Raw genomic sequence first — 26,172 nt, forward strand, 5'->3', positions numbered from 1 at the left:
AAATTACTTAAATAGGCACAGGTAGTATCACACACTAAACTGCTAAATCTATGATACTTACCATGAGCCAGTTCATGTACTCAGTTCATGAACTCAGTCACAACTTTGAGGTTATACTATTATTACCTACATTTTACAGATAAGAAAGCTGAGGGGCAGAACCTCCATTAAGAGGTTCAGGGAAGCCCCAAAACTCTAAGTTTTGTCTTAAAACAAAAAAATTAGGTGAAAGAAGAGGGGGGAAGTATCCCAAGAGACTTTGCTTGTTTAAAAGTATCTGAAAAGAAAGAAAAGACAAAGACTAGAAGAGAAGTTTCATTTTATTCACGGATGATATAAATGTCTATGACACAAGGCAGCAAGCTATACAACTGGCGGGCCAAACTACAGCTCCAGCCCCAGGGTCTGTTTTTGTACTTTCTGCAAGCTAGGAATAACTTGTATCAATTTTAAGCGATTAAAAATAATTTGAATAGTATTTCACAACATGTGAAAATCACATGAACTTTACATTTCTGTGACTATAAAGGTTCACTGGAACACAGCCATGCTCATTCAGTGTCTATTGCCACTTTCACACTACAAAGGTAGAAGTGAGTAGTTGTGATGGAGACCATGTGACCCACAAAACCTGAAATATTTACTATCTGGTCCTTCACAGAAAGTTTTCCCAAGCCATGGGTCTACAATAATCGTAAGTGATTTATTAACAAGTTTTAAGTTTATGAAGGTCACAGAAAACAAGGTTATGATACAAAAACGAACTGTATTTCTAGAAACCAACAAACAACTGAAAATGAAAGAACAGTATCATTTTCAGCTTCATCAAAAAACCACAAAACATTTGGAGCGAAACAAAATATGTGCAAGAAAGACCTCTAGATGTAAATAATGAAAAATTAAAGATTCAGATAAGTGTACACCACATTCATGGATCAGAAGACACAATGCTGTAAACATGTCAATTCTCTCCAAACTGATCTAAATTGAAAGAAATCCGAATCAAAATCCTGTCAAACTTTTTGTAGACACTGGCAGGCTGATTCTAAAATTCACATGAAATAAAAGTTGAAAATAACCAAACCATCTTTTAAAAAAAAAAAAAAAAAAGGCCAGGCACGGTGGCTCATGCCTGTAATCCCAGCACTTTGGGGGGCTGAGGTGGGTGGATCACCTGAGGTCAGGAGTTCGAGACCAGCCTGACCAACATGCAGAAACCCTGTCTCTACTAAAAATACAAAATTAGCTGGGCGTGGTGGCGCATGCCTGTAATCCCAGCTACTCTGGAGGCTGAGGCAGGAGAATCACTTGAACCCAGGAGGCAGAGGTTGCAGTGAGCTGAGATTGTGCCATTGCACTCCAGCCTGGGCAACAAGAGCAAAACTCCGTCTCAAAAAAAAAAAAGAGAGAGAAAAGAAAAAAAAAAAAAGGAGGACTTATACTACCTGATTATGACTTACTATAAAGCTATGGTGATCAACACAGTATAGAATAATAACAGAAAAAAAATCTAGAAAGAGATCCAGACATCACAATCAACCAGTTTCCCACAAAGGGGTCAAGGTAATTAAATAGGAAAAAGAACGGTCTTTTCAGCAGATAGTGCAAAAAAATCTGAATAGCCTATGTCTGAAAGAACTTCAAACTGTAATTAATATATATATATATAAATTAACTTAAAATGAATCACAGATGAAAAGCCAAAACTATAAAACTTCTAGAAAAACAAATATAAGAAAAATCTGAGACCATGGTTTAGAGAAAGATTTCTTAGGATGCAAAAAGCACAAACAAGAAAAAAAAAAAAAAGATAAATGGATTTCATCAAAACTGAAAATTTCTGCTCTTCCAAAGACATTTTATAAATAAATGAAAAGATAAGCCACAAACTGGAAGAAAATAATGGCCAAAATTCTTGAATACTTCTCCAAAGAAAATACATGAATGACCAATAAGCAATGAAAAGGTCACATTATCAATCATGAGGGAAATAAAAATTAAAACCACCATAATATGCCGCTATACATCCACTAGAATAACTAAAACAATACCAAGTGTTGTGAGTATGAGAAGCAATTGAACTCGCATATATACGTTACTGGTGGGAATGTAAAATGTGACAGCCACTTTGGAAAAGTTTTGTATCTCTAACAAAATAAAAACATATCTCTATCTTACCAAATGACTTAGCAATTTAGTTCTGAGGCATTTACCCAAAGAAGTAAAAACATGTGTCTCCACAAGGAAATGAATACAAATGTTCACAGCAATGTTACTCAAAATAGTCAAAAACTGGAAACAACCCAAATGTGAATCAACTGGTGATTGTTAAACATACTTTGGTGCACCCATATAATGGAATACTCAATATATAGTTCATATAATGGAACTACTCCATAATAGGAAACAAATTGACACATGCAACATGGATGAATCTCAAAAGCATTATGCTAAGTGAAAGAAGAATGACAAAGGCTACATACTGCATGACTCCATTTATGATATTGTAAAAAAGACAAAATTACAGGGACAGAAAACACATCAATGTTTATCAAGGGCTGAGGATGGGGTAGGGGATAGAATGACTGATTTTGCAAAGTGAAATGGGGGCACTTTTTGTGGTGATCAGAGTATTCTTTATCTTGACGTGAAAGTGGTAACAAATTGCATCTGTCAACCCTTAAAACTACAAAACTACATTTTTGAAGTATGCAGTTATTATTTATATCTCAGTAAACCTGATTTTTTAAAAAAGGCAATTCAAACATTTTGAAAGTTATCAGCTGTTTAAAATATCCTTTCAATTTATCAACTTAAAGACTAACAACACAAATGTGTTCTTACGCCAGGAAAAAAACTGCCTTTTATTATTTAGTTGAACCTTTGAAAAATGGAGAACTTAGAACAAATCATTCAAGAGAAAAGAGAGCAAAGTCTCCCAACTGTCTTTCAGAATTTCATAGTACCAAGAAACTCAAATAACATTTAATTAAGAGCACAAGTCAAGCTAAATAACCATCACCAGACTCCAAGCTCACCTCATTTTCATACTGGATTTCTAACATGGCCCGTGAGCTGCCGAGGTCCTGCATCACAGACTCCGCCTGTTTCAGCAGCTCCTCTCGGTTCACAGTACGCTACAAAGAAAGTACAACTGTCAGGAAACTATGCTCTACCCATATTACACTTTAATAAACAGGTGGCATTTCTTGAAATGCAAAAGAACAAGATCAACTCAATTGTTAACACTTATTTCCTTAAACAGGTAACTCAGAAAAGGTTAAGAGGTAGCTGTATTGCTACAAATATCAACAGCACCCTGGCATACATTAAGGAAATCAGATGCAAGAGTAATTACTAATTTATCTTGTGGCCATGGCAAGTTCAGAAAATTCAAGTTGGGGAAGAAAAAAATCGTCTTTGCCAAATATCAGTGCAATTCTCAGGGCTGCAGTTTCATGAAATTTCCCTGGGTACATTTATATTTAGATAGAGAAATAGATATGGAGGTGACAGGTCAAACAGGTGAGCTGGAAACCTACTGGCTCTGATCTGCCAAGATCCTACAAGCACTACTACAAACACCTGCAAATGAGATTTTAAAAGGTCCTGCTAGATTTCTAATTTATGCCAATATCAGTGCTTATGGAATCCTAATAAAGATACGAATAGGATGACTTTTTTTTTTTTTTTTTTTTTAGGTGGCGTCTCGCTCTGTTGCCAGGCTGGAATGCAGTGGCGCAATCTCAGCTCACCGCAACCTCCAACTCCCTGGTTTAAGTGATTCTCTTGCCTCAGCCTCCCAAGTAGCTGGGATTACAGGCATGCGCCACCACGCCCAGATAATTTTTTTTTTTTTTTTTTTTTTTTTTGTATTTTTAGTAGAGATGGGGTTTCACCATGTTGGCCAGGATGGTCTCGATCTCCTGACCTCATGATCCGCCCGCCTCGGCCTCCCAAAGTGCTGGGATTACAGGCAGGAGCCACCACACACCGGGCCCAAGAAGATTTTTTTAACTACAATGTTTGCTTTATGTTTTGTTTTGCTTTTCAGTATACACTTCACTCCCTGCCATCCATCTAACTCCTTTATTTTATTACTAATGTCTCTTATGAAACTTTTGGAGATAAAGGCTTTAGGAAAAGAAACTTAAATCCCTAGCGGAAAAAAACAGGTAAATGAACAGAAAAGACCTAAGTAAAAACAGTGCTGGTGAGAACTGTAGAATCGGTCTCCACTGGAAATGGCTCAGGGCCCCGTGGTTCAGAGCCACAAATGTGGAGCCAAGATTAGAAACACAGATTAAGTTAGCAATACTGGAGCTAACTGGTATAAGAGACTCAAAACATATAAAGGATTTTGTTTCAGGCTCTTCTAATTGGAGTGACTTGTTAAGGGAATGAAATGGATCTGATTAATTCCAACTATTACATAAGGGATCAATTTTTAAAGGCAGGAGATAGTTTGAACTCCTAATTTAGAATGAAAAAAGTTTCAGTGAGAGAAGACAAGATTCTTTCTTGGTCTAAGAGTTACGGCAACTAAAAGAGAAAAGAGAATTGTAGAAATTATTTCAGAAACTGGGGGGTGGGGAGGAGAGAAACTCTTAATGAAGAATAAGGAAGAATCACAGCCCAGTTCCAAGAGACTGAAAGGAAAATAGGGCTAGCTGAATATGACCAAGGCCTCCAAGACCAACATGCATATTTAGATATACTACATTTCTAGTTTTTCCCATTATTTTGAAAAGCTCAGATTATTTAAAGATTTTGGGGAGAAACTTACTTTTTTTCTATCCAATCTAGGTGCAACTCTGCTATCTTGAGAATCAGACTGGTTGATTTCTGGGTTGGTATCAAGTAATCTTTGCATTGCTCGGTCCCGATCAAATGCAGTTACATAAAAAAGCATTTGCCGGGTATCAAAAGGAAAGAAAAATGGGCTGTAAAAAGATGCAATGTAAGTTTATTATCTGGATGAGAATCAGAAACTACTAAAAAAAAAATCCAAACTTATATTAGAAACAACTTTTGATATGATATAGAAAATTGTAAATAAAATCAGTAAAAATTGTTTAGGTCAATTTATTTATTTATTTTGAGATGGAGTCCTTGCTCCTGTCGCCCAGGCTGGAGTGCAGTGGTGTGATCTAGGCACACTGCAACCGCCACCTCCCGGGCTCTTGCAATTCTCCTGCCTCAGCCTCCCAAGTAGCTGGGATTACAGGCTCCTGACACCACAACTGGCTAATTTTTGTATTTTTAGTAGAGACGGGGTTTCACCATGTTGGCCAGGCTGGTCTTTAACTCCTGACCTCAGGTGATCCACTTGTCTTGGCCTCCCAAAGTGCTGGGATTATAGATGTGAGCCACCACGTCCAGCCAGGTCAATTAATTTTTAAGAATTTTCATACTTCTTATATGAAATTTCTAAGTGATCAAGTAATAGTGCATTAAGTAGCCTTTCAATGCAGAATCTGATATTTAATTTTTAAAATCCTACACTTAAGTCGATAGATCATCTTTAATCTACCTGAAGGAAGTATAACATAACTAATGAAAGCTCATTTTTAAAATATGACCACCACCTTCATGAGGCACTTGAATCATCCTGAAACCAGCCCTATCTCCCAGTCCATGTCTGTGGAAAAAACTGTCTTCCATGAAACTGGTCCCTGGTGCCAAAAAGAGTTGGGGACTGCCGATTTAAATGTATATGGCCAGTGGCTTACATTTATCACTGCAGTTCTAGAGTCCCTGACCCAAGCAGGCTCAGAGAATCAAGCAACTACACCTTTGGAATCCAATTCCATGACAGCAGATAATTTTGACTATCCTCAGCCAAACTGCTATGTGTACTTTCCTGTTTCATACATAGACACATACTACCAAGAAGATCCAGCCCCCAAACTTGCCTAGTCTGTTTACATGCTAAAGCCACACAATTAAGCAAGTTGTGATCAACAGTATTAATAAACATTTGACTAGGTCCAGTAAAGACAATGTTTCTGTAACAAAATACATCAAGACCAACCCAGTAACATTTCCAAGGCCACCATTACAGAAGTGATTGTCTTACCAGGTTTTTCCTAGCTCAGTAAGCCATGTTGGGATGTTTCCTGTCATGATTACTAAAGGATCTTGAAGTTGCCTATTTGCTTTTGCTGTTAACTTACTGTTAATAAATTCACTAGTTGGAATAATTTCCTTGCACATTGCATTCTGTAAAATGTTTAAAAAAAAAAAAGTCTACATGTAGTAAAATATTAGGATTATATTCACAATCTCTTCCATTATCCCCAAGTCCATGCAAAGTACCCTGAATTCACGTGTTGGTTTCCAACATACAACACACAGCCTCTCATTACTGTGTCCCAACTAAAACAACAATTCCCACAATACACTGTTAAGCCCTCACACATACCCCTTGCCACTGCTGCGCACCCCGCCCAGCCACTGCTGCTGGCTCAGTCATTCAGTGATGTTGCAGCTAATGTTTCATGCAGGGCCAATTCCTTTACTCTTCTCTATGCTATATAAATATCAAAGGCAGCATGCAACTTTCACCCAACTTTTACTTGATATATAAACTTCTGGTTACATGTACCTAAAGAATTTTAACTATAATAAATCCATGTTCAAGTTTCATATTGTAGCTTAATTTCATAAATTTATTCCTAGAGAGAATTTTACAAATCTGCCAAGAGAATTAATCTAAGACTGTGGGCCAGGAGAAAAAAAAGTGGGGGAGAAGTTTCCACTGATGAGTACATTGTACTTTACTGGGCTAGGAGCCCTGCATTTAGCTGAATCACTGTTTCCATTTCTAGTGCAATAGGAAATTTATCAATCACAGACCATGAAAACTTCATAAATAGGCAACATTACTCACATCATACAAGTAATACCAGTATCGACTGATAGCATGTAAAACTCTTAAAAGAAGGATCACATCTAATGACGGGTCTTCAAATGTTATATTTTCAGGTGGTGTGGGAATGAGGTAAACTTCTAAAGGATTTGATACTGATGGGCACACTCCATCTAAAGGACAAAAGATCAAAGTAAGTTTTGATCAAAGTTAGAAAGGCTAAGCCAGTGCAGCCAAGGTCCTATCATCGCTAAAAGAGTAACAGAAGTTGTTATAGTCAACGCTTGGAATCTTATTAGTAGGGTATTGATAAGTTTGACAATCTTCCCATTTTATCTTATATATAAAGTGCCTTGGCTTATAAAAATTTCACTTTTCCCTCCCATACACAAATAAACATTATAATGCAGGAAAGCTGACTCCTCCACATTTCTCCTTTATACCAGAAACAATGGCAAACAGTAAAATGGCTGGAGGAATAAAAACAAACTGTTTAAATTTAAGTTCACTGTTACAGAAATTTCCCAGATCTTTCATATCCAGTTTATAACTAGATGAATACCTCAAAATTAAAAATCTGGTAAAAGAGACTTGGTTATTTAATGCAAGGCTTAGGACTGAACAGATTGTGAGGGTTTTCAAGTAAGGGTCTGCAAATCCTTTGTTATTAGACTGCATTAAGTAAAGGCATCAAAAAAATAAATCTGAGGGATTGAAACAGTTGCCATTTACTTATAGCAAGCAAAATAATAAAAAATCATACCACCATCATTTCATAATAGAAAACAGCATGTTTAACACCAAAAACATAACAATCTCAAAACTAAGAGCCTTTTATATCGAACAAACTTAGTTTTGTGAAAAAAAAGTGCTACAGGGCCCTTTTCTGTGGACCAGGGAAACCAGTGTGAAAATTACTGTGGTGGCGGCAGGGGGCAGGGAGCAGGGGGAGGGGGGGGTGTCCTCCATGGAACAATAATATTGTCTAACTCTAAGGCACTGTTAGTATCGTATTTTTAAAGGGAAGACGTGGGGGAAGAGAGGAAAACTATAGACAGGAAGGAAGTATTACAGAGGAAAATAAGTCTATTAGAAAGTGACGGTTATATTCGATGGTCATTACATTACCTGGCATCACTTTTTATAATTACTATAATTGTACTACTGTCATGGGTGACAAATAAAAAATTAGGGGCCAATTGGCCAATTATCACTACCTTCAGTCTCTTGTTTAGTGAACATGTTCTACCAATGAAATTTGTTTCAACCTTCATAAAAACCTGAACTCTTATATGAACTGGGAATAAGTTTTTTTCCCAATTTTCCTTCCCAATTTAATTTTGTAGGTACTTAATTTTTCATTTTCTAGATATTAAAGTTGAGGATTAAATGTGATCAAACTGTTTGTAATGTCATTTATTTCTCAACTATATTCAAAAATTTTACTACTAAATCCAAATCACTCTTTGAAAATCATGAAAATGGGAAGATTGCCCAGTTGGCAATCCATTTTCCCCTTTATCTACCATCTTACCGTGCCATAACTCATCATGCTTTTTTGCATTTCTAGGGGAAGTTTTCGTTGGAGCTGTTTGGGCTCTTCCTCTTTTACCACCAACACAATCTTTATTACTTTCTTCATCCTCTCTCACAGGTTTATACCTAAAATGACAAGACAGTATATAAACCAAATGTAGATTTTGAAACTGATACAAAGCCAAAATCTAAGCCACAGACACCACAGTTACCAGAAGACTGTTCTGAGATCTATTCTCCTCTCTCTCCCTAGTGTGAATCTGGAGAACTTCTTAGAAGAGATCACCTAGAGACCACCTTCCCAGGAGGGGCTGCCTCAGAAACTCCAAGGGTGGTTCTGGGAAGAATGGCTCTCTTCAAGCATATGTAGCAGACACTCACAGACAATGCAGGAAGCTGCATCCAAATCCCTCTTAAGGACTCAGAGATGCCCAACTTCAGATTACCTAATATCTTATGGCAACATTTTTGTCTTAATTAAAGACCTGAAATAAATCTAGAAAAGCAGATGTAAACCATGATTACTGTCCATGGATATACATTTTCCGGTAGAATGAATGAGGAGGCTACATATACATATGCACCTTATCAAATATTTGAAATCGTCTTTCAGAACTAAAATGTGTGATTTAGGGCCCCCTATCCTTATGAAAGCCAGCCATTAAGTTAATGTGAATTCTAAAACACAAGAACAGTTTCAAAGTTTATGAAAAAACAAAAGAAAGAATTTTCAGACTTGCCATATTGTATGAGTCTTTGTCCAAATACCAGCTCTGCCTAGAGGATTGCTCTCATCATCTGTGGATTCTCTTTCATCTTCAGCCTGTATACTAAACTGCCGTACTGCCTGATACACAGTCATGTTATACGGCAGCAAATGTTCTCCAATATAAAACTGCAGCCTGTGTCTTACATTTCCTGAATTTAGGAACTGAGCAGCCTGAATAAAGCAAAGCAAAAGCCATTTAAGCCAAAGGCCCTGAACTTTATATAGTACATTATACATGGTGGGAATATAGTACCTTACCAGAGACTCATCTATTTCCTCATCTGATCCATCGTCATCGCTGTCTTCATCATCTTCTCTTACTCTTCCATACCCTGAAGACCCAAGTAGACTTTTAAACTCTTAGCGATTTTAGGTGTAAAAAAAAAAAAATCCTGTATACACACTGGTTAAACATATTCTTAGAAAACACATATAGGTTGAGTATCCCTTATCTGAAATGCTTGAGCCCAGAAGTGTTTTAGATTTCAAATTTTTTCAGATTTGGAATATTTGCATGTACATAATGAGATACCTTGGGGATGGGATACAAATCTAAATATGCAATTCATTTATATCTCATATACATGGCGTGAAGGTAATGATATACAGTATTTTCAATAATTTTGTGCATGAAACAAAGTGTATGTACATTGAACCATCAGAAAGCAAAGTTGTCAGGTGTGGAGTCTTCCACTTGCGATGTTCACGGCAACAATCAAAGTTTCAGATTCTGGAGCGTTTTGCATTTTAGATTTTCAGGTTAGGGATGTTCAACCTGTATATATTACACTCTGATCTATGAAGCAGAAAGGTCTAAGAAAATTGCCAAACACAAAATGTCATTTCTACTACATTTCACCAAGATAAATTAACTCAACATTCAAGGAAGCAGTCAACCCCTAGTAAGTTCAATGTATGACTATATACTAAGTAGAAAATAAAAGACAGGAATATAAGTTCCTGCCATCTATTTTTTAACAGAAACAACATTAAACAGAGAAATAATGTATGTAACTCTTAATGTAAATTTCTCCCAAATATACATATATAACACACGAAACAAATATATGGAAAGTACCTCTAACTACAAGGTATCTCTCGATGGCTTGTACCAAAGCCAGAGGGTCAATCTTGACAGGTCCACCCTTCCACTGCTTCACATTTGCACAGTCTGGATGCCTTTGTAACTGGCATTTTAATTGATGTGTGTTGAAAAATTTTAAAGCCTGTGATCCTCTGTTGAGAGAAAAGCTCAAGATAATTTGTGAAAAAAAAGTTAGTCTATTATTTTCACATTTAATATACATTAATTCAAATAAAGGCAAGTTAATACAAACTGCATTTTCATAAGACACACTAGTACTAAGCATTTACTTACCAGTTCTGTGAATGGTAAAGCCAATAATTCAAGTTATTTAGAAAAAATTTTTATACGTAAGAAATAAAAGACGGATGTGTATGCATGCATATGAAAACCTTAAGTCAATATTTGATCTCTGTCCCATCATAAATCCATGGGAGCAGAAATACTTCACCCATGAATATTTAATTATTTTTCTGGAACAAAAATTCCTGAACTATTTAAGCACACTCACTTCTGCAATATTTTGCCCATTCCTATTGAATTATATTTTTTAAAAAGAAAAAAAAAACTCTTTATTTCAAAGATTTCAGCTACAATATTACATTAAAAACTAACCTTTAAAATTTACCTTGCTATAATAGTTTTGAACGAAGCGGTTTAATAGCTACTGCAGTTGAAACCTGGTCATGATGTTTAATTGCTCATTTCAGAAAAGCTCTGGCAGGAGTCAGATACAAACTTAAACTGTGATTATCTGTATGATTCCACAAAGCAAGCTTGTCCAACCTGCGGCCCACAGGCCACATGCAGCCCAGATGGCTTTGTATATAGGCCAACATAAATTCGTAAACTTTCTTAAAATACAATGAGTGTTTTTTTTTTTTAAGCTCATCAACTAACATTAGTGTTGGTGTATTTTATGTGGCCCAAGACAATTCATCTTCCAATATAGCCCAGGGAAGCCAAAAGATTGGACCCTCCTGCACATAAAGCACACAAATAGGGATGTGGAGAATATTCCATTTTATGAATATATACATATGCAAACATATTTTATATAAATTTGGACACAAAAAGCTTCATGATTTTCTCAAGCACAGGTCAAAATGCCCCCTTATTTCATGAACTCCTCCAGGAAATCATAACGATCAAAACTGAATACCACACACTACATTAAATTTCAAAGCAGAAAAGAAACCCTAGTCCATGATGTGATTGCTTTATCACTCAAAAATGCATATGGTTTTTAATTCAAACAAAGTTTTTTAAATGTTTTTAAAACGTCAAAATGTGGATTTAAAAACCAAACTAGGCTGAGTGTGGTGGCTCAGAAATCCCAGCACTTTGGGAGGCCAAGGCAGGAGGATCACTTGGGCCCAAGAGTTTGAGACCAGCCTGGGCAACAAAGTGAGACCCCGTCTCTACAAAAAATAAAAAAATTAATGGAACATGGTGGCACATGCCTGTGGCCCCAGCTACGTGGCAGGCTGAGGCAGAAAGATCTCTTCAGCCAGGAGGTCAAGGCTGCAGTGAGCCATGTTCACACTAGTGTAATTTGGCTTGGGCAACAAAGTAAGACTCTGTCCCAAAATAAATAAATAAATAAATAAATAAATAAAAACCAAACAAATTTCCTATTTTCTAGGCCTCCGGTCAAAATATTCCATGAAACTTGTAACATTCCACAACATAGAACAATTCTTTCCTGTAGCACCTCAAGAGTCCTTAAAACTACATTAAAAATATATATATTTATTAAACTAGTAAAACTTCAAACATTTGACCCCATCAAAATACAAAGTTATAGCCACTAATATTACATATAAATCATATCGCTCAAAATGTAAACATTACTCACAGCCACAAAAAATTTTTTATCCCTACTGAAGTTAAACATAAAGTTCTTAAGGAAGTTTTGTATGCTGAAGTGTATCAATTTAAGGAAAACTAAGCCTATTACAAGTTACAAATACAATCACTGGATTATATATTTATAAAGCATCCTGTTTAAGGCATATGGTATAATTTTAAAGATAAGAAAGCATTTGATTCATTCTTTAGAGTGCTTAATTTCTTTCATCATTACAGCTGAATGTTTTCTGGGCCAATCAAGACTTTACCAGACCTCTTGCCATCTTACTTCAGTGAAATTAAGTACCAAATTCCAGTGGCAAGGGTATAGCCAGGCAATGGTCCTTACCTGCCTCCTGTCCCATTTCCACTAGGGAAATCATGTACTTTGACTGGAAATTGTTCCATCTGGCTGAGGCAGTTGTTCATCTTGTGAACTAATGCCAACAAAGGTGCATTACCCACTGGTTCCACTCTTCCAATGGGCTCTTCTCCAGGAAGCTAAAGTTATAAATAAACAAACAGGTTAAACAAAGCCTTTTCAAAACAAAAGTCTCCTCAAAGAGAAGATTTAATAAGCAGCTTTATAAAAGAGAATAATTTGTCTATTCATCTTTATCTTTTATGGCAGATTTGGTTTGAACGATGTTACCACGTCAATTATTTCAATAAAGACAACTGTTTTGTACAGCCCACAATCCTGTATTCACAATCTCTACATCCAAAGGCTCTGAAAACACAAGTCACTTGGTGGCAAAATCTGATCCAAACAGACATAAGGCTATTTACAGTCTTTATTTATCTGATTTTAGTAAGAATATTCATGTTATGCTATAAAAATATTTAATGCATATAATATACAGTGCTATTCAGAAACTGCTGGGAATTTTAATGTACTACACACTGTAGGACCTTTGAAACCGACCAAACTCCAGGGGTTTCAGAAAAGAGATTGCACATAATCTTAAGTATGCTGTAAAACTATACATAATACTGTCACGCTTCTAATGAATCTCCAATAAATACTAACTTTGCTTTAGGTTGACTCACAAGTTAAAATACAAGCAATGCTCAAATGCCTCTGAGGACTGCAAGCGCATGGTGAAATAGTGTTAATACATAGGAGAGCTATGCTAAGCCCTATTACACAGATAATAGGGAACGTTTCCAAGTGATGCCTTCTCTTTAAGCCACTGTAAAACAAGGAGAATGCTGTCAACAGCATCCAAGGATTACCCTCTTGCTCTGGCCCACTTAAGAGTGAAGGAAGGGGAGCCACTCTGTGGCTTTGTAATCCACATTATAAACGGTGACATAAATGGTCATTAAGCGCCCTTGATTGGAACTGTTACAACTGTATTTTATGTACAAAACAAGAAAATATAACTCCTCTATCTTATTATAGATGTCTGTTTCACTAAAAGGAACTAATACAAACTTCAATACATTTAAAAACAAATATTGCAAGTAAAATACATTCACAGGTGAGAGACTACTATTAATGGCTCATCCTGCAAGCAAAAAAGACTCAAGATACTTCAATCATAGAAATAGTGACATGGGCTTTGTTAAATCCCCATTTCATTGTTTTACTATTTACTTTGATATACAGAAGTTGAAGGATTCCAACTATGTGAAAACCTAGAAGTTTTCCCTCAATGTCTTGACCAAGACCTGCTGGAAATTATTACTGAGATGAAAATATATGCATTAGTGAGCACTGATTCTTAAAAGATACACAGGCATTATTAGATAACTTACTGGAGAAGAAAAAAATACATGAAGAAATCGCTTTAATCTGATCTCTCTGCTCACAGCATCCTTTTCACTTTTAGATGTCAAATAAAGCAACAGCTGCTTCACAAATCCACTATGTTGGATTTCAAATGATGAAACATCTGACTCTGAGACTATGCTACGGATTTCTACAAGGCACTCAGCTCCACCATCCACCTGAAAGAGTTAGGAAAAGTATTTCTATATTGATTTAAGCAGCACTTAAAAAATACACAACTCACATATCCTCAAAAGGAAATGAATATATTCTCAACGCCCTTAAAAAAGAGGGCAGGGGAGTGGTACAGTCTTAGTAAATCCTTGGAAATTATGATTTTAAACACACACACACACACACTAAATATTTCATGAGGAAAACCAGGAATCCATAATAACATAAGAAGAAAATCTTCATATTCAACCAATGTAGTTTTCTTTAAAAAAGAGTATTTTAAAAGATGAGAACAGAAAACTGAAGAATAAGGGGCTATAACACCAGAATGGAAAGATGAATCAAGAATACAAGGTGTGGCTTTAAATTAATACATTTAAGGTCTCAGCAAAATGAACAATTTCTTGGAAAACATACTACCAAAACTGCTCAAGGTACATCAAAAACATCAAAATAAATAAATAAATAAAAATAAAAATAAGAACAAAAACTGAGAACCAGATGAAACGTAAAACACTTATTAGTAAACCTCTAGCCTCTCCTGCCACTCTGAGACCCCATGTGAAGAGAGGGGCTAAGGAAGGCCTATCATCTATACCTATAGTTGAGGATGACTTAGAAAACAGATGTGCTTGTGAGGACATTTCTGAAGTTTCTTCATTTGTCAAGAATGATGAGATGTGAAGGAAAGAAAGTCAAAGATGAGGTTTCTAGTACATTTAATACAGACTGATGAATCCTGATAGTCAAGGGATAAGTAAAAGAAATGCCAGCACCAAGGGTGTATATAAGGTAAAAGTCGATGTAGGATAGCTAAATCCATAGGAAGCTAGAGAGTCATGAAGGAAAAGAGTAGCAGGAGATGCTGGGAAGAGACTGAAAAAGACCAGCAAAATGCACTGGACACAGCACCTGGAGGTTGAGTTGTTCGGTTGCAGCACAAAGTCTCTGAAGGACATTCAATGCAGGGTTGCTTCCATCCATATTCTCAGAACTGAAATAACGTTCTACAAATTTATGTGCCTGCTCCTTAATCCAACCTTTAATTTTTTCTCTACAAGAAACAAAAAGGAGATATTAAAGTCCCAGTGTATGTAGAAAGGATATAACTTCTGATCAAGGCAAATAGCTGCTACATTTAAAATTCATCCTGGTCTATGCTTACAGTTTAAAAACTCCAGATTCCATAACCAAATTAACTTTCACTTTGAAAATGGGCTACGATGTACCACCTGGAGAACTGTTTAAAAACTTAAAATACACTGCAGGTCATTACATGAATTGTAAACAAAGTGTAATAATTTTTTGGAACCCTGCAATATAACACTTTCCTAAGTGTTCCCTTTACTTCCTAAAGTACATACATATCTGCATTATCCTTAACTTGTGTTTCCTGGAGAGCTGAAGTAAAGATTTACAGACCAGAAACATGCGCCTATTAAGGATGTAATAAGCTATGGCAAATAAGACCCGGCTGCTTAAATTACAAATGCTGATGGCTTCAGAAATCCATTCACTTAATTATTTTTATACACTGAAATTAAGAAAAACAACCAACAAAACCAAAGAGAGCATGTTTATTTTCTCAATGACATTTGGTCTTTTAAAATTTCTTATCTGCAGAGGGAAGTAATCATGTTGGTATGCTACATGCAGAACCCAAAAATAAAACAAGTCCCAAGGACTTAAAAAAAAAAAAAAAGGCTCTCCCCTAAAATCCTGAAGTTCCATTGTAATGGGTAGAGAAATTTTATCATAAAAGATGTGAAGAATGTGGACAGAAAATGTCAGCTTTTCCTTGTCTGGAACAAAACTGAGGAAGAGGTTCCCCAAGGAATACAATGTGGTTTTGAACGTATAAGACTTTCAGCTAGGTATGCTGGAAGGAGTTTCAAAGCACATGACTGGAACTTAGGACAAAGCCAGATGCAGGGTTCATAAACTGAGAAACTACCTAATTCTTGAACTATGCTTTTAAGAACAAATTAAAGTGCTGTGTCTATGTATCGTCTCCACACAATAAACGTACTGGCTGAAATAATGTTTAAGTTTTTCTGATATGGGAATAGAAGAAACATAAAACTCCCCCCACTTCACCTATTATTGGAGATGGTATCCTTTGAGGCAGCCCTGGCAAGGCCACTACCTCCCGCAGTCCGTGCTGGCTCAATGTTGTTGCTGTTGGACTGTGTACTTAACCTTCCCCATGTTTTTGGATTCAAGCTTGCCAGGAAAGAAGATTTAGGTGACTGAGTAGTGGTGGGGCTTTTAGCTATGAAAAGAAAAAAGAACTACAGTTAAGTCATTTTAGTTTAAGTGATGAAAAACAACTGATTTTTAAGATTCACAGTCTTAACAGATTAATTAACTGAAAGAACTAAGAACACTTAGTCCTCAGGAAACTTAGGCATACTTCAAGAGCTACTGGCAGTTTTAATAAAGTACATTTCTGCACCTGCTACCACCCTCCCCTTTACCTCCCCATAGTTTCATCAAAGGGGTTACCTTGATTGTCTACTTTGTCATCATCTCTTGGAGGTGAGTACTTTGGCCTTCTTGGCCCTCGTTTTGGCAGTCGTTTTCTCTTTAGAACATCACTTAATCGACTGTCCATGGGAAAATATGAGATAAGTTTAGCAATTACCACTGTTTTATATCTTCACTCACTGAAAAAGCAAACTAAAATGGCAGAAACAGGGAGTAATAAAATACTGTCAGGCCGGGCGCGGTGGCTCACGCCTGTAATCCCAGCACTTTGGGAGGCCGAGGCGGGCAGATCACGAGGTCAGGAGATCAAGACCATCCTGGCTAACATGGTGAAACCCCATCTCTACTAAAAATACAAAAATTAGCCGGGCGTGGTGGCGGGCGCCTGTAGTCTCAGCTACTGAGGAGGCTGAGGCAGGAGAATGGCGTGAACCCGGGAGGCGGAGCTTGCAGTGAGCCGAGATAGCGCCACTGCACTCCAGCCTGGGAGATAGTGAGACTCCATCTCAAAAAAAAAAAAAATACTGTCATAACAAGGTATGTTCTTGTTTAGTGATTATTTAATGCCAATTCTGTGCCAGTCATGTTCTAGAGGTGTGCAGACACAGCAAATGATTATTCAGAAAATAACTAGCTGTTTAACTATACTGAACTATGAAACATAAAGCCAGATAAGATGACTGATCAATTTTCTATGTGTTCCACTTTAAATAGTAGTATATAAGTACATAAAGCAAATATGCAACACAAAGGAGCAAAATAAAAATAAACGGGTAATCACCAACCTGAAAAAGAATGTTAAATCCACATAACACACTTTTTCCATAACCAAAATGGCCGTGAGTAAAATATACATGACCCTTAGTGTTCATGTTGTCAAAATACTCATCTGCCTCTAACATACTACCCAAAGTAATTTCATAGTGTGACAATGGCAATAACATACTAAATAAATGCATTTATGAACATTTTAGTTGGTTTTTTTAAACCTATATACAAATCTAGTGAGTAGTATGAGTAATTTATTCTGAATTAGAATCATTTGCAAAATTAAACACCTGTAGCCTGTTCTAACGACAGTAGAAATAGTTTGTAACAGCAATAAATTTTTAGAATAACAAAACTAAATAAGATGAAAAGGCTGAAAAATGTTGTGGTTTAGTTGGTCTGTGGCCCAAATAAAACTGGAAAAATCTGAAAAAAAATTGGAAAATTTCCAACACCTGACATTTCTATGGAATATACTTAATAATGTGCTCAAATGTGCTTGACAATCAGGAAAAATGAACTTTCAAAGGATGAAAAATGTAATTAAACAATTTTCATTTAAAAAAAATTAACATGAATTTTTCATTTGCAACCATGCTGTAATATGGAACCACTTAAAACTATTTAAAACCATGTAAAAATATTTTAAGAAAAAAGTTATTTTCTCTTTCTTTGGCATAATCAACTGTTAGACTCTATAATCAATTCCAACTCCTTAAATTAAAATGGCTCAGAAATACTGCATTTGAGCTGGGCATGCTAGCACATGCCTGTAGTCCCAGCTACTTCGGAGGCCAAGGTAGGGAGGGTCACTTGAGCCCGGGAGTTCGAGGTTAGCCTGAGAAACAGAGCAAGACCCCATGCTGTGTCTCTTTTTGAAAAAAAGAAAAAGAAAAAAGGGAGAAAGGAAAACATTTTTAAAGGGAAAGAAATACTGCAATTGTCTGAACTGTATCACTCTCTGTAATTTACTGAGTATCTATGATGTCTCAGGCACCATGCCTACATTACAGTAAAACCCTGCAATAACTTATGTTACTGCAGCAGCTAGTGGGTAGGAATGGGGCTGGGAAGGAAGTAAAGGAGAGAGCAAGGCTGGAAAGGAAAATGGCAGACAAAAGCAACTGCAGAATCAGGGATGTGGAAGAGTCCCCAGAACTCTCCAAGCCCAATCTCCTCAGACTGGTCAAACAACATGGGTGCCAGTTAAACTCAGCAGTTTCCTAAAATAATACCCACTGTGCCAGAAGTTCAGTCTGCCAGAAGTCTTGAAACTGCCAAAATTCATATTTAAGCTGGACTAGAAAACTGCCACCAGGTGGCACCAAATTCCCCTCATCCCCTCTCCTACCTGAGTTGGCTGCCTGCACAAGACAATGCTACCCTGCAGATTATAAGATTAAATTTTTGGACCCCACTTATTATTACTATATTTTAGCATGATCTACTTTTCAGTTTAAAAGGAGCCAGAAAGAGTACTGAAGTGAATACATACTGAATTTCAGAACTGAATTTGGTTCATCAGGTACCACTCATCTAGTAATATTAAGCTTCTAATAGCAAGGAAATAAAAACACTTTTAGAGTGTGATTTGTTTCTAACACAACAAAATGGAAACCAATGGAAGTTTTGGAAACATTCTTAGTAGCATGGTATAACAAAGATTAAAAGCTGATAAATAAATGGGAGTAGAGAATTTAAGAACTCTCATTTTCCCTTATTAAAAGCAAAGTATTTAACTCCCAGTTGCCAATTAAAGATAAATGGGGAATCAGTATTTTTTGGCCTTTATTCTAAGACTTCTAATTTTCAGTATTTTTAACTGTATTAATATCTGGATGTCTCTGAGGTCGTATGTATGCAGCAGCACAAAAAATAGTCACAAGATTATGAAATCAGAAACCAGAATTCAAATCCCACAATGTTAGAGCCTACAAGTAACATAAGTGTGTAACACCGTGCAAGTCACAAATGTCTCTGAACTTTAGTTTCCTTGTATGTCAGTGGGAATAAAACTAATCTCTTACAGTTCCTAAACACAGCCCAATACAGTAGGTTTCCAATAAATGTTTTCTTCCCATTCTCATTAACAAAATACAAAAGGAAAAATATAATATATATATGCTAATATGTTACCATTTTACTCCCTATATGATTCTTAGGTACCAAAGCAGCGCTAACAGCAAAGAAATAAAAATCACAACACAATTCTTACTTACCCTTGAGGGCTGAGATCTAAAGAATCATCCCTGCTGTGCTGCAAGCTGGGTGATCCCAAGTCAGCTGCAGCATGAGTGGCAGCTGTGGCTGTCCCACTGCTGACTGAAGTTGTGGATCCCATGGATCCCGATCCATTCGTACATGCCTTTGGTGGACTTGTCAACAAAGACTCTGATTCTGCTAAGTGTTTTACTTGATGCATTACACCTTTATAATAACAGAGATGAAAGGGAGTCAGTTTTAATCAGGAGTAGAACCTTCTCCCCACCATTACAAAATCCCTAAATACCAACACTGACATAATACACAAAAAGACTAAAACATAACTGGCAAATAGGTAAAAGAAATTAGGAGCCAGAGTTTTCAACTTGACTTCAATCAGAAAAAAATATAAAAACTAAAGGTTAAAGAAAAATACTGATATTGAATGTCTTCTAATCTTCAAAACCAGATTATATAAAACTTAATAGGGTCACAAAGTCCTATTCAGAGTTCAAAATACTCATTATAAAAACAATAATCAACTACAGAAATACAGTGCACACCCTGTGGTGTGACAGCCAGAAGGGATGGAAAAGACCAAGAATCAGTTAACTTCAAGCGCTACAAAAAGACAAGATCACATTAACACTGCCACCAAAAAAAAAACCAGCTATTGAAGGGTGGGAACTATCACATCCTTTAAGGTGTGTAAAGAGAGCTAAACATTAACTTGTGAGGCAGGGGTTCCTATCTGTCCCGGAATCATAGGAGAGTATGTATGAAGGAGTGTGACTAAGAACTATCAAATTGTATACCAATATGCATGTCTGATTATCAGCTAGTATAAACTATATGCAAATATGTGGATATATTTAACGTGAGTGAATGAGCACACGTTCACATTTTTCTGGGGAAGAGTCCACGGCTTCTATCATTCTATCAGACTCTTATTAAAAGACAAACTGTAATCCCACGCTGAGGCAGTAGGATTGCTTGAGGCAAGGAGTTTGACATCAGCCCAGGTGTGCACCACCACACCCCGCTAATTTTTGTATTTTTCTTAAAGACTGGGTTTCACCATGTTGGCCAGGCTGGTCTCCAACTCCTGACCTCAAGTGATCCACCTGCCTTGGCCTCCCAAAGTGCTGGGGTTACAGGCGTGAGCCACCACGCCCAGCCTAAAAGACACATTCTACGTACACAGAGCTATAAGCTAACAGAGCTTTAAATGTCATTTTTAAATTGAAAAGCTATCAGTTTTTGCTCGACAGATTAAAACTTTATTTCTGTTGAAGTACTATCTAGACTAAATGACTATTAATTTATATGACATTACCTTCTCTTCTGAAGTAAACACTAAAAATATCAGGTAACTTCTGCATTAAAATTTCTGCCATCTGAAGTGCTCCCACTACTATCTTCAGGTCTTGGCTTGACAGCATGGAAGCAATGTGACTAAAAAAAGAAAGCATTTGTATATAAAACTCTGCCTGAATTTGATGATTATTTTTGGCCATACTACTTTAAATTGAGAGCAAAGCATTTTCATTGTGAAACCATTCTATTAACATAAACATTTTTCTTAAATGCTCAAGTTTTATATTTTATAAAAGCTATTATGTGAATATAAATAGACAAAAAAGAGCTCAAGATACTCCTAACAAATTTTTGTGCATATTTTTTCTATTATTACTTTAGAGGTTTCTGAAATTACTTGCAGAGATTTGTATTTGTAAAATGTTTCTACTATTTTCATTAACACACCTTGAAACAGCATGATTTTTCAGAACATCCTTCAGAAGTTCAGCATCCGCAAAATAAATTATCCTAAGAATTGCTCTAAGGCACTTATGTCTGACCGCAGGTCCTGCTGAGGAACTATACACTTCATAAAGAACACCAAATAATGTCTTAATAAAAGACTTAGCCAGTTCCGGATCCTCTTTCATAAGCTGTGCTCGAGCATCATCCTTCTTTGACTCTGAATATCCACCTATTACATTAAAAAAAAATATATGTGCAATCCTGAAGTGACAGACTTCAGAAACACAATAAACAATATAAAATACTCAAGCCAGTGTAATTCTTGAAATGCTATGAAAACTTTTTCATTATAGAACACATGAACTTCTATGATATGATCAACTAGGATTTACAAAGATGCTAAAGGCAACATTAAGACAGACAAAATTCAGCTGTCTAGAAAACTAGTGACCCATTGGGGCCAGCTGAAAGTAACAATTCATCACCGCACTGTACCTCTTTATTTTACTGATATACATTCAATGAAACAATAGGGAAATCCAATCCTAACCAACCAAACCAGTGGTAAGAAACTGAGTTCTAGAAATGCACCATATTTCACTAAAAGCTTTGTAAAATGGATAAAGAAGGTAATTCTACCACTTTGCTTAGTGACATAAAGTGTAAGGAAAAGATAACTGATAAGCAGTAAGTTATATACAAGGGGTTGACAAAGTACGGTCTGTAAGCCGAATCCAGTCCACCACCGGTTTTTGTAAATATAATTTTATTAGAACGCAGCCATGTACATTTGTTCACATATTGTATATGGCTAATTGAGGGCTACAATGGCAATGGTGGTGAGTATAGACTATATATAACCTGCAACACTTATATTATTTACTATCTGGCCCTTTATTTTATTTAATTAATTTATTTATTTATTCAGACAGAGTCTCACTCTGTCACCCAGGCTGGAGTGTGGTGGCAGGATCTCAGCTCACTGCAAGCTCCGCTTCCCGGGTTCACGCCATTCCTCTGCCTCAGCCTCCTGAGTAGCTGGGACTACAGGCGCCCACCACCACGCTCGGCTAGTTTTTTGTATTTTTAGTAGAGATAGGGTTTCACCGTGTTAGCCAGGATGGTCTCCATCTCCTGACCTCGTGATCTGCCTGCCTCAGCCTCCCAAAGTGCTGGGATTACAGGCGTGAGACACCATGCCCAGCACTACCTGGCCCTTTTCAAAACAACAACAACAACAACAACAACAAAAATATTTGCAGACCACTGTTCTCTAAACTAGGGCTGAAAAAGCAATGAACTAAATCCCTGAGGGGACAGATAAATGTCAGAAACCTGGTTTTGTTTTGTTTTGTTTTTTTAATCACAATTATCTGTCCTTAATTAGTTCAGATAATTTTGGCAGGAAGGTATAAAATACAAGGTTGGAAAGAACTAGTCAATGGATCTAAAGGTATAATAGTAATGACAGGATCAGATAAAAATCTGTATGAGCAAATTCTGACTCGAATCTCAGGACATCAGGTAAGCAGACAAATTGTGGAAAAGATACCAGTTAATACTGGCTCACTCATCCATTAATGGACATGATTTAAAAAATCGAAAACCAAATTATTGTTATGCAATTGTCTTAAGCTTAAAAAGATACTTAATAAGCCAATTATTATTTATTATGCAAACACAAAATATTGCACAATAGTATAGTGCTATTTTAACTCAGAATGTACTTACTAGTGTTACTATTGGCTAACGGGTTAGGTTTTCTCTGAATGGCACGTGCTGTTCCCGTGTCCTCATTGATTTGCTGCATAGAATTAAAATCAATAGTATAAACTCGTCCCAGAGTGGACAAGCTTATCTCATCCTCACCGACCTGATGGGCTGCCTGAGAGCAAAGAGAGAGAAACTTTGAATATAAACATTGAGAAATCTATTACCTTAAGACACAGTGGGGACCCTCCAAATATGCTATCTTACATATTTATTTCAACAGGTTTTAGATGGTGAAGTTAACAGAAGATGGAATAATAGTGTAGATATGACAAAACTCATTCATTCAACAAATCATTTTTAATTAGACATAGGTTACATGCCTCAAGCCTTATCAGGGACCCTTAGACATAAATGCAGGTAAAATCTTGATGAAAGATCCACCTGTGTAGCATCACTGACACAAAGAAGACACCATTTGTATTGAGAATGCTTTTAAGACATTGCTTATAAAAAATCAGTTATCCATATATCTTAGTATTCTTAGATTAAAAATATTATTTACATGATGAATTCTTAGCGACCTACCAAAATCCTCCCTTAAACAAAATGATCCTATAAAATTGTCCTCATTAAACAAAGATAACTTTAAGACTGAAAGGGACACAACTGAAACAGATTAATCGCCAAGGTTGTGTGTGGTATACAGAACATATTTAAATTGACACAGTTCAATTAGCACAGTTTGACTTTAAACAGACTACAGAAGTGACAAAATATTCTCATTACAGAATCCAATCTATGGAACTCCTAGGCTGAATGGAAGACAAGACTCTCAGCACATATGAGAGAGTAAGCTAATAGTGAAGGTGCAATGATCAGGAAAATGCTAAAAAGAAGACGACTTAGAGTTAGAGACCAGGACCACTATTAGCAGGATTGGCCTGCTTATACACTGCTTATATATAATGCTGCACAGAAGACCAGTCAAAGTCAATTTTCTCATAAAAGCTTGCTCTGAAACTGGATTTATTTTTAAAACTCTTGATTTTATGAGGTAAGTCATTGGTTTAAAATTTTTTCTAAAATTCATTTTTAGAAACGAACTAGAAGGCACCTTTAAAGAAGACTGTCTATTCAAAATGTGTGATGTTCTAAAAAGAATTCAAACATCAAAGATTGAAATTAGAAAATAGATAAATTCTTACAGGTGTCTCATGTATTGAAAATAGTAAATTATGCATGGCATCACAAATAACACAGTGATCAACACCTCCTAAGCTAGAGCAAATATTATGCTCATTTAGTTTTAAAAATATTTCAGTGCAAACAATATATAAGGAAGTAAAAATAAAAATCACATAAAACTGTCACAGAAAATCACTGTCAACATTTTGGTACATTCCTCCCCTTTGTATTATTCATATGTTCACTTATTTTGCTGAATTCCAAAAAGATTCACTTAATATTGTATAGTGTTTTTCATTCATATTTGATTTTATATCATTAAAATTTGTCCCAATAATATCTGGATAACATACAAGCCTACGTGTATCACAATTTACTTAACTATTTACCCAGAACTGGCTATTTCATTTGTTTCCACGTTTCTGCTCTGGAAAAATATTGAGAGGAAACTATTTGTATGTAAATCTTTGCTCATGGGACATTGCTTTCTGATAGAAGATAGATAAATTTTAGAAACCTACGGCCTAAGTCTTCCAATGTTTCCTTTCAGAAATGAGGAAACTATGGAACAACAAACTTAAATTACTTGCTCCAAGTCAATCAGGTAGTTAGCAGCAGAAGCAGGACTAGAACATGAAGTTTTCTGACCTGAACAGAAATGAGGACCTTGTTCTCAGGAGACAAAATGAGAGAATCTTGAGTTAATTCAAAATCAAGCACATTCAAATCCACATATCCACCTCCCCATTCCATCCCTACACCCACTCTCCAACAAAATAGACACATTTAAACGGTACGATGAAACTACTACCTCAATGATCCGGCTGTCAATCCTGTTATATGGATGCCAGAGGCCCCGATCATCACGCCACTGCCATATCGCACCATCTGTGTTCTGTGCATTTCCCTTCTTCAACATGGTATCAACTGCAAAAATGCCTTCTTTTGGTAAACATGGCATAAGTTCACTGAAAACAAAAAGTACAATAATTTTAGTAACTTTATGAAATATTAGTAAACGTTAGGTCTCTAAAGAAAAATAATCTCACACAAACCAAAAGTTGTATTTAGACCAATTTTTTTTTTGGAGACAGAGTCTCACTCTGTCGCCCAGGCTGGATGGCAGTGGCACGATCTCAGCTCACTGCAACCTCCGCCTCCCAGGTTCAAGCAATTTCTCCTGTCTTGGCCTCCCAAGCAGCTGGGATTACAGGCGCCCGCCACTACGCCCAGGTAATTTTTTGTATTTTTAGTAGAGACGGGTTTTCATCATGTTGGCCAGGCTGGTCTCGAACTCCTGACCTCGTGATTCACCCGCCTTGGCCTCCCAAAGTGATATTTAGCCCAATCTTTACCAAATCAGAGATGTCAGTTCATACAACTCTTGAGGGCTTCGTGGAACAAGATCAATCTGTTCCTGACAACTTCCATTGGAGGCACCACACAGGAGAAAGTGAAGCGTTTCTGCAATGTCTGTAAAAACCAACAACAAAAAACAAAAGGCTATTAAACTAGTTATACTACCTCATTCAAAGGCAAACATTGCCCAAGGGGGGAAAATAATCAGAATCATTTTCTTACAAAGCAACATAATGCAGAAATTAATGTAAAAAATGCAAAAGTGCTGTAATAAAGGCCTAAAAAAAATTTGTGTAGATTTTAACAATCTCTTTCTGGAGACTTCGTTCTTTAGTCCAAACCTAGCTGGGTGCCTAATCACAATTCCTTCTCACCCCTGAGACTTCAGGAACCCTTTATTTCTTTCCTTGAGAAGCATCGTACTTTGCACAAAAATGCATTCAACATACCACAAATCAAATATATTTATGTACTTGTCTTCAATTCAAATATACTGAAAATATGTGGCCCATAGTATAAAACGTTAACAATTAAATGTAACTGAATCTTATTGTATTGTGATCAGGAAAATCACTACCTAAGCAACACTGATTACATGCAAACTTGATACAAGGATCAGGCAGGCATTCTCTACT

At 36.4% G+C, this 26,172-nt stretch overlaps 1 protein-coding gene across 58 annotated transcripts in view; it reads right to left on the reverse strand.

Annotated features, from left to right (window-relative positions):
- TRIP12 (thyroid hormone receptor interactor 12) overlaps positions 1 to 26,172 on the reverse strand; it is a 159,350-nt gene that overhangs the window by 18,882 nt on the left and 114,296 nt on the right. For 14 of the 58 annotated variants that reach the window (NM_001284216.2, XM_047446384.1, NM_001284215.2 and 11 more), the window contains 19 exons: positions 25,534 to 25,651; positions 24,990 to 25,146; positions 23,012 to 23,165; positions 21,281 to 21,509; positions 20,853 to 20,971; positions 19,534 to 19,741; positions 16,565 to 16,665; positions 16,157 to 16,331; positions 14,972 to 15,113; positions 13,873 to 14,064; positions 12,461 to 12,612; positions 10,255 to 10,427; positions 9,435 to 9,508; positions 9,148 to 9,347; positions 8,406 to 8,533; positions 6,893 to 7,044; positions 6,080 to 6,222; positions 4,787 to 4,943; positions 3,039 to 3,137 (listed from right to left, as the gene is read on the reverse strand). In NM_001284216.2, the coding sequence (NP_001271145.1) occupies positions 3,039 to 3,137; positions 4,787 to 4,943; positions 6,080 to 6,222; positions 6,893 to 7,044; positions 8,406 to 8,533; positions 9,148 to 9,347; positions 9,435 to 9,508; positions 10,255 to 10,427; positions 12,461 to 12,612; positions 13,873 to 14,064; positions 14,972 to 15,113; positions 16,157 to 16,331; positions 16,565 to 16,665; positions 19,534 to 19,741; positions 20,853 to 20,971; positions 21,281 to 21,509; positions 23,012 to 23,165; positions 24,990 to 25,146; positions 25,534 to 25,651 (2,873 nt within the window). Of the gene's footprint in view, positions 1 to 3,038; positions 3,138 to 4,786; positions 4,944 to 6,079; positions 6,223 to 6,892; positions 7,045 to 8,405; positions 8,534 to 9,147; positions 9,348 to 9,434; positions 9,509 to 10,254; positions 10,428 to 12,460; positions 12,613 to 13,872; positions 14,065 to 14,971; positions 15,114 to 16,156; positions 16,332 to 16,564; positions 16,666 to 19,533; positions 19,742 to 20,852; positions 20,972 to 21,280; positions 21,510 to 23,011; positions 23,166 to 24,986; positions 25,147 to 25,533; positions 25,652 to 26,172 lie in introns of all 58 variants that reach the window. The other 44 variants (XM_047446395.1, NM_004238.3, XM_047446381.1 and 41 more) reach the window with 6 other exon arrangements.

The sequence above is a fragment of the Homo sapiens genome, chromosome 2 (assembly GCF_000001405.40).
Source record: "Homo sapiens chromosome 2, GRCh38.p14 Primary Assembly".
NCBI lineage: Eukaryota > Metazoa > Chordata > Mammalia > Primates > Hominidae > Homo > Homo sapiens.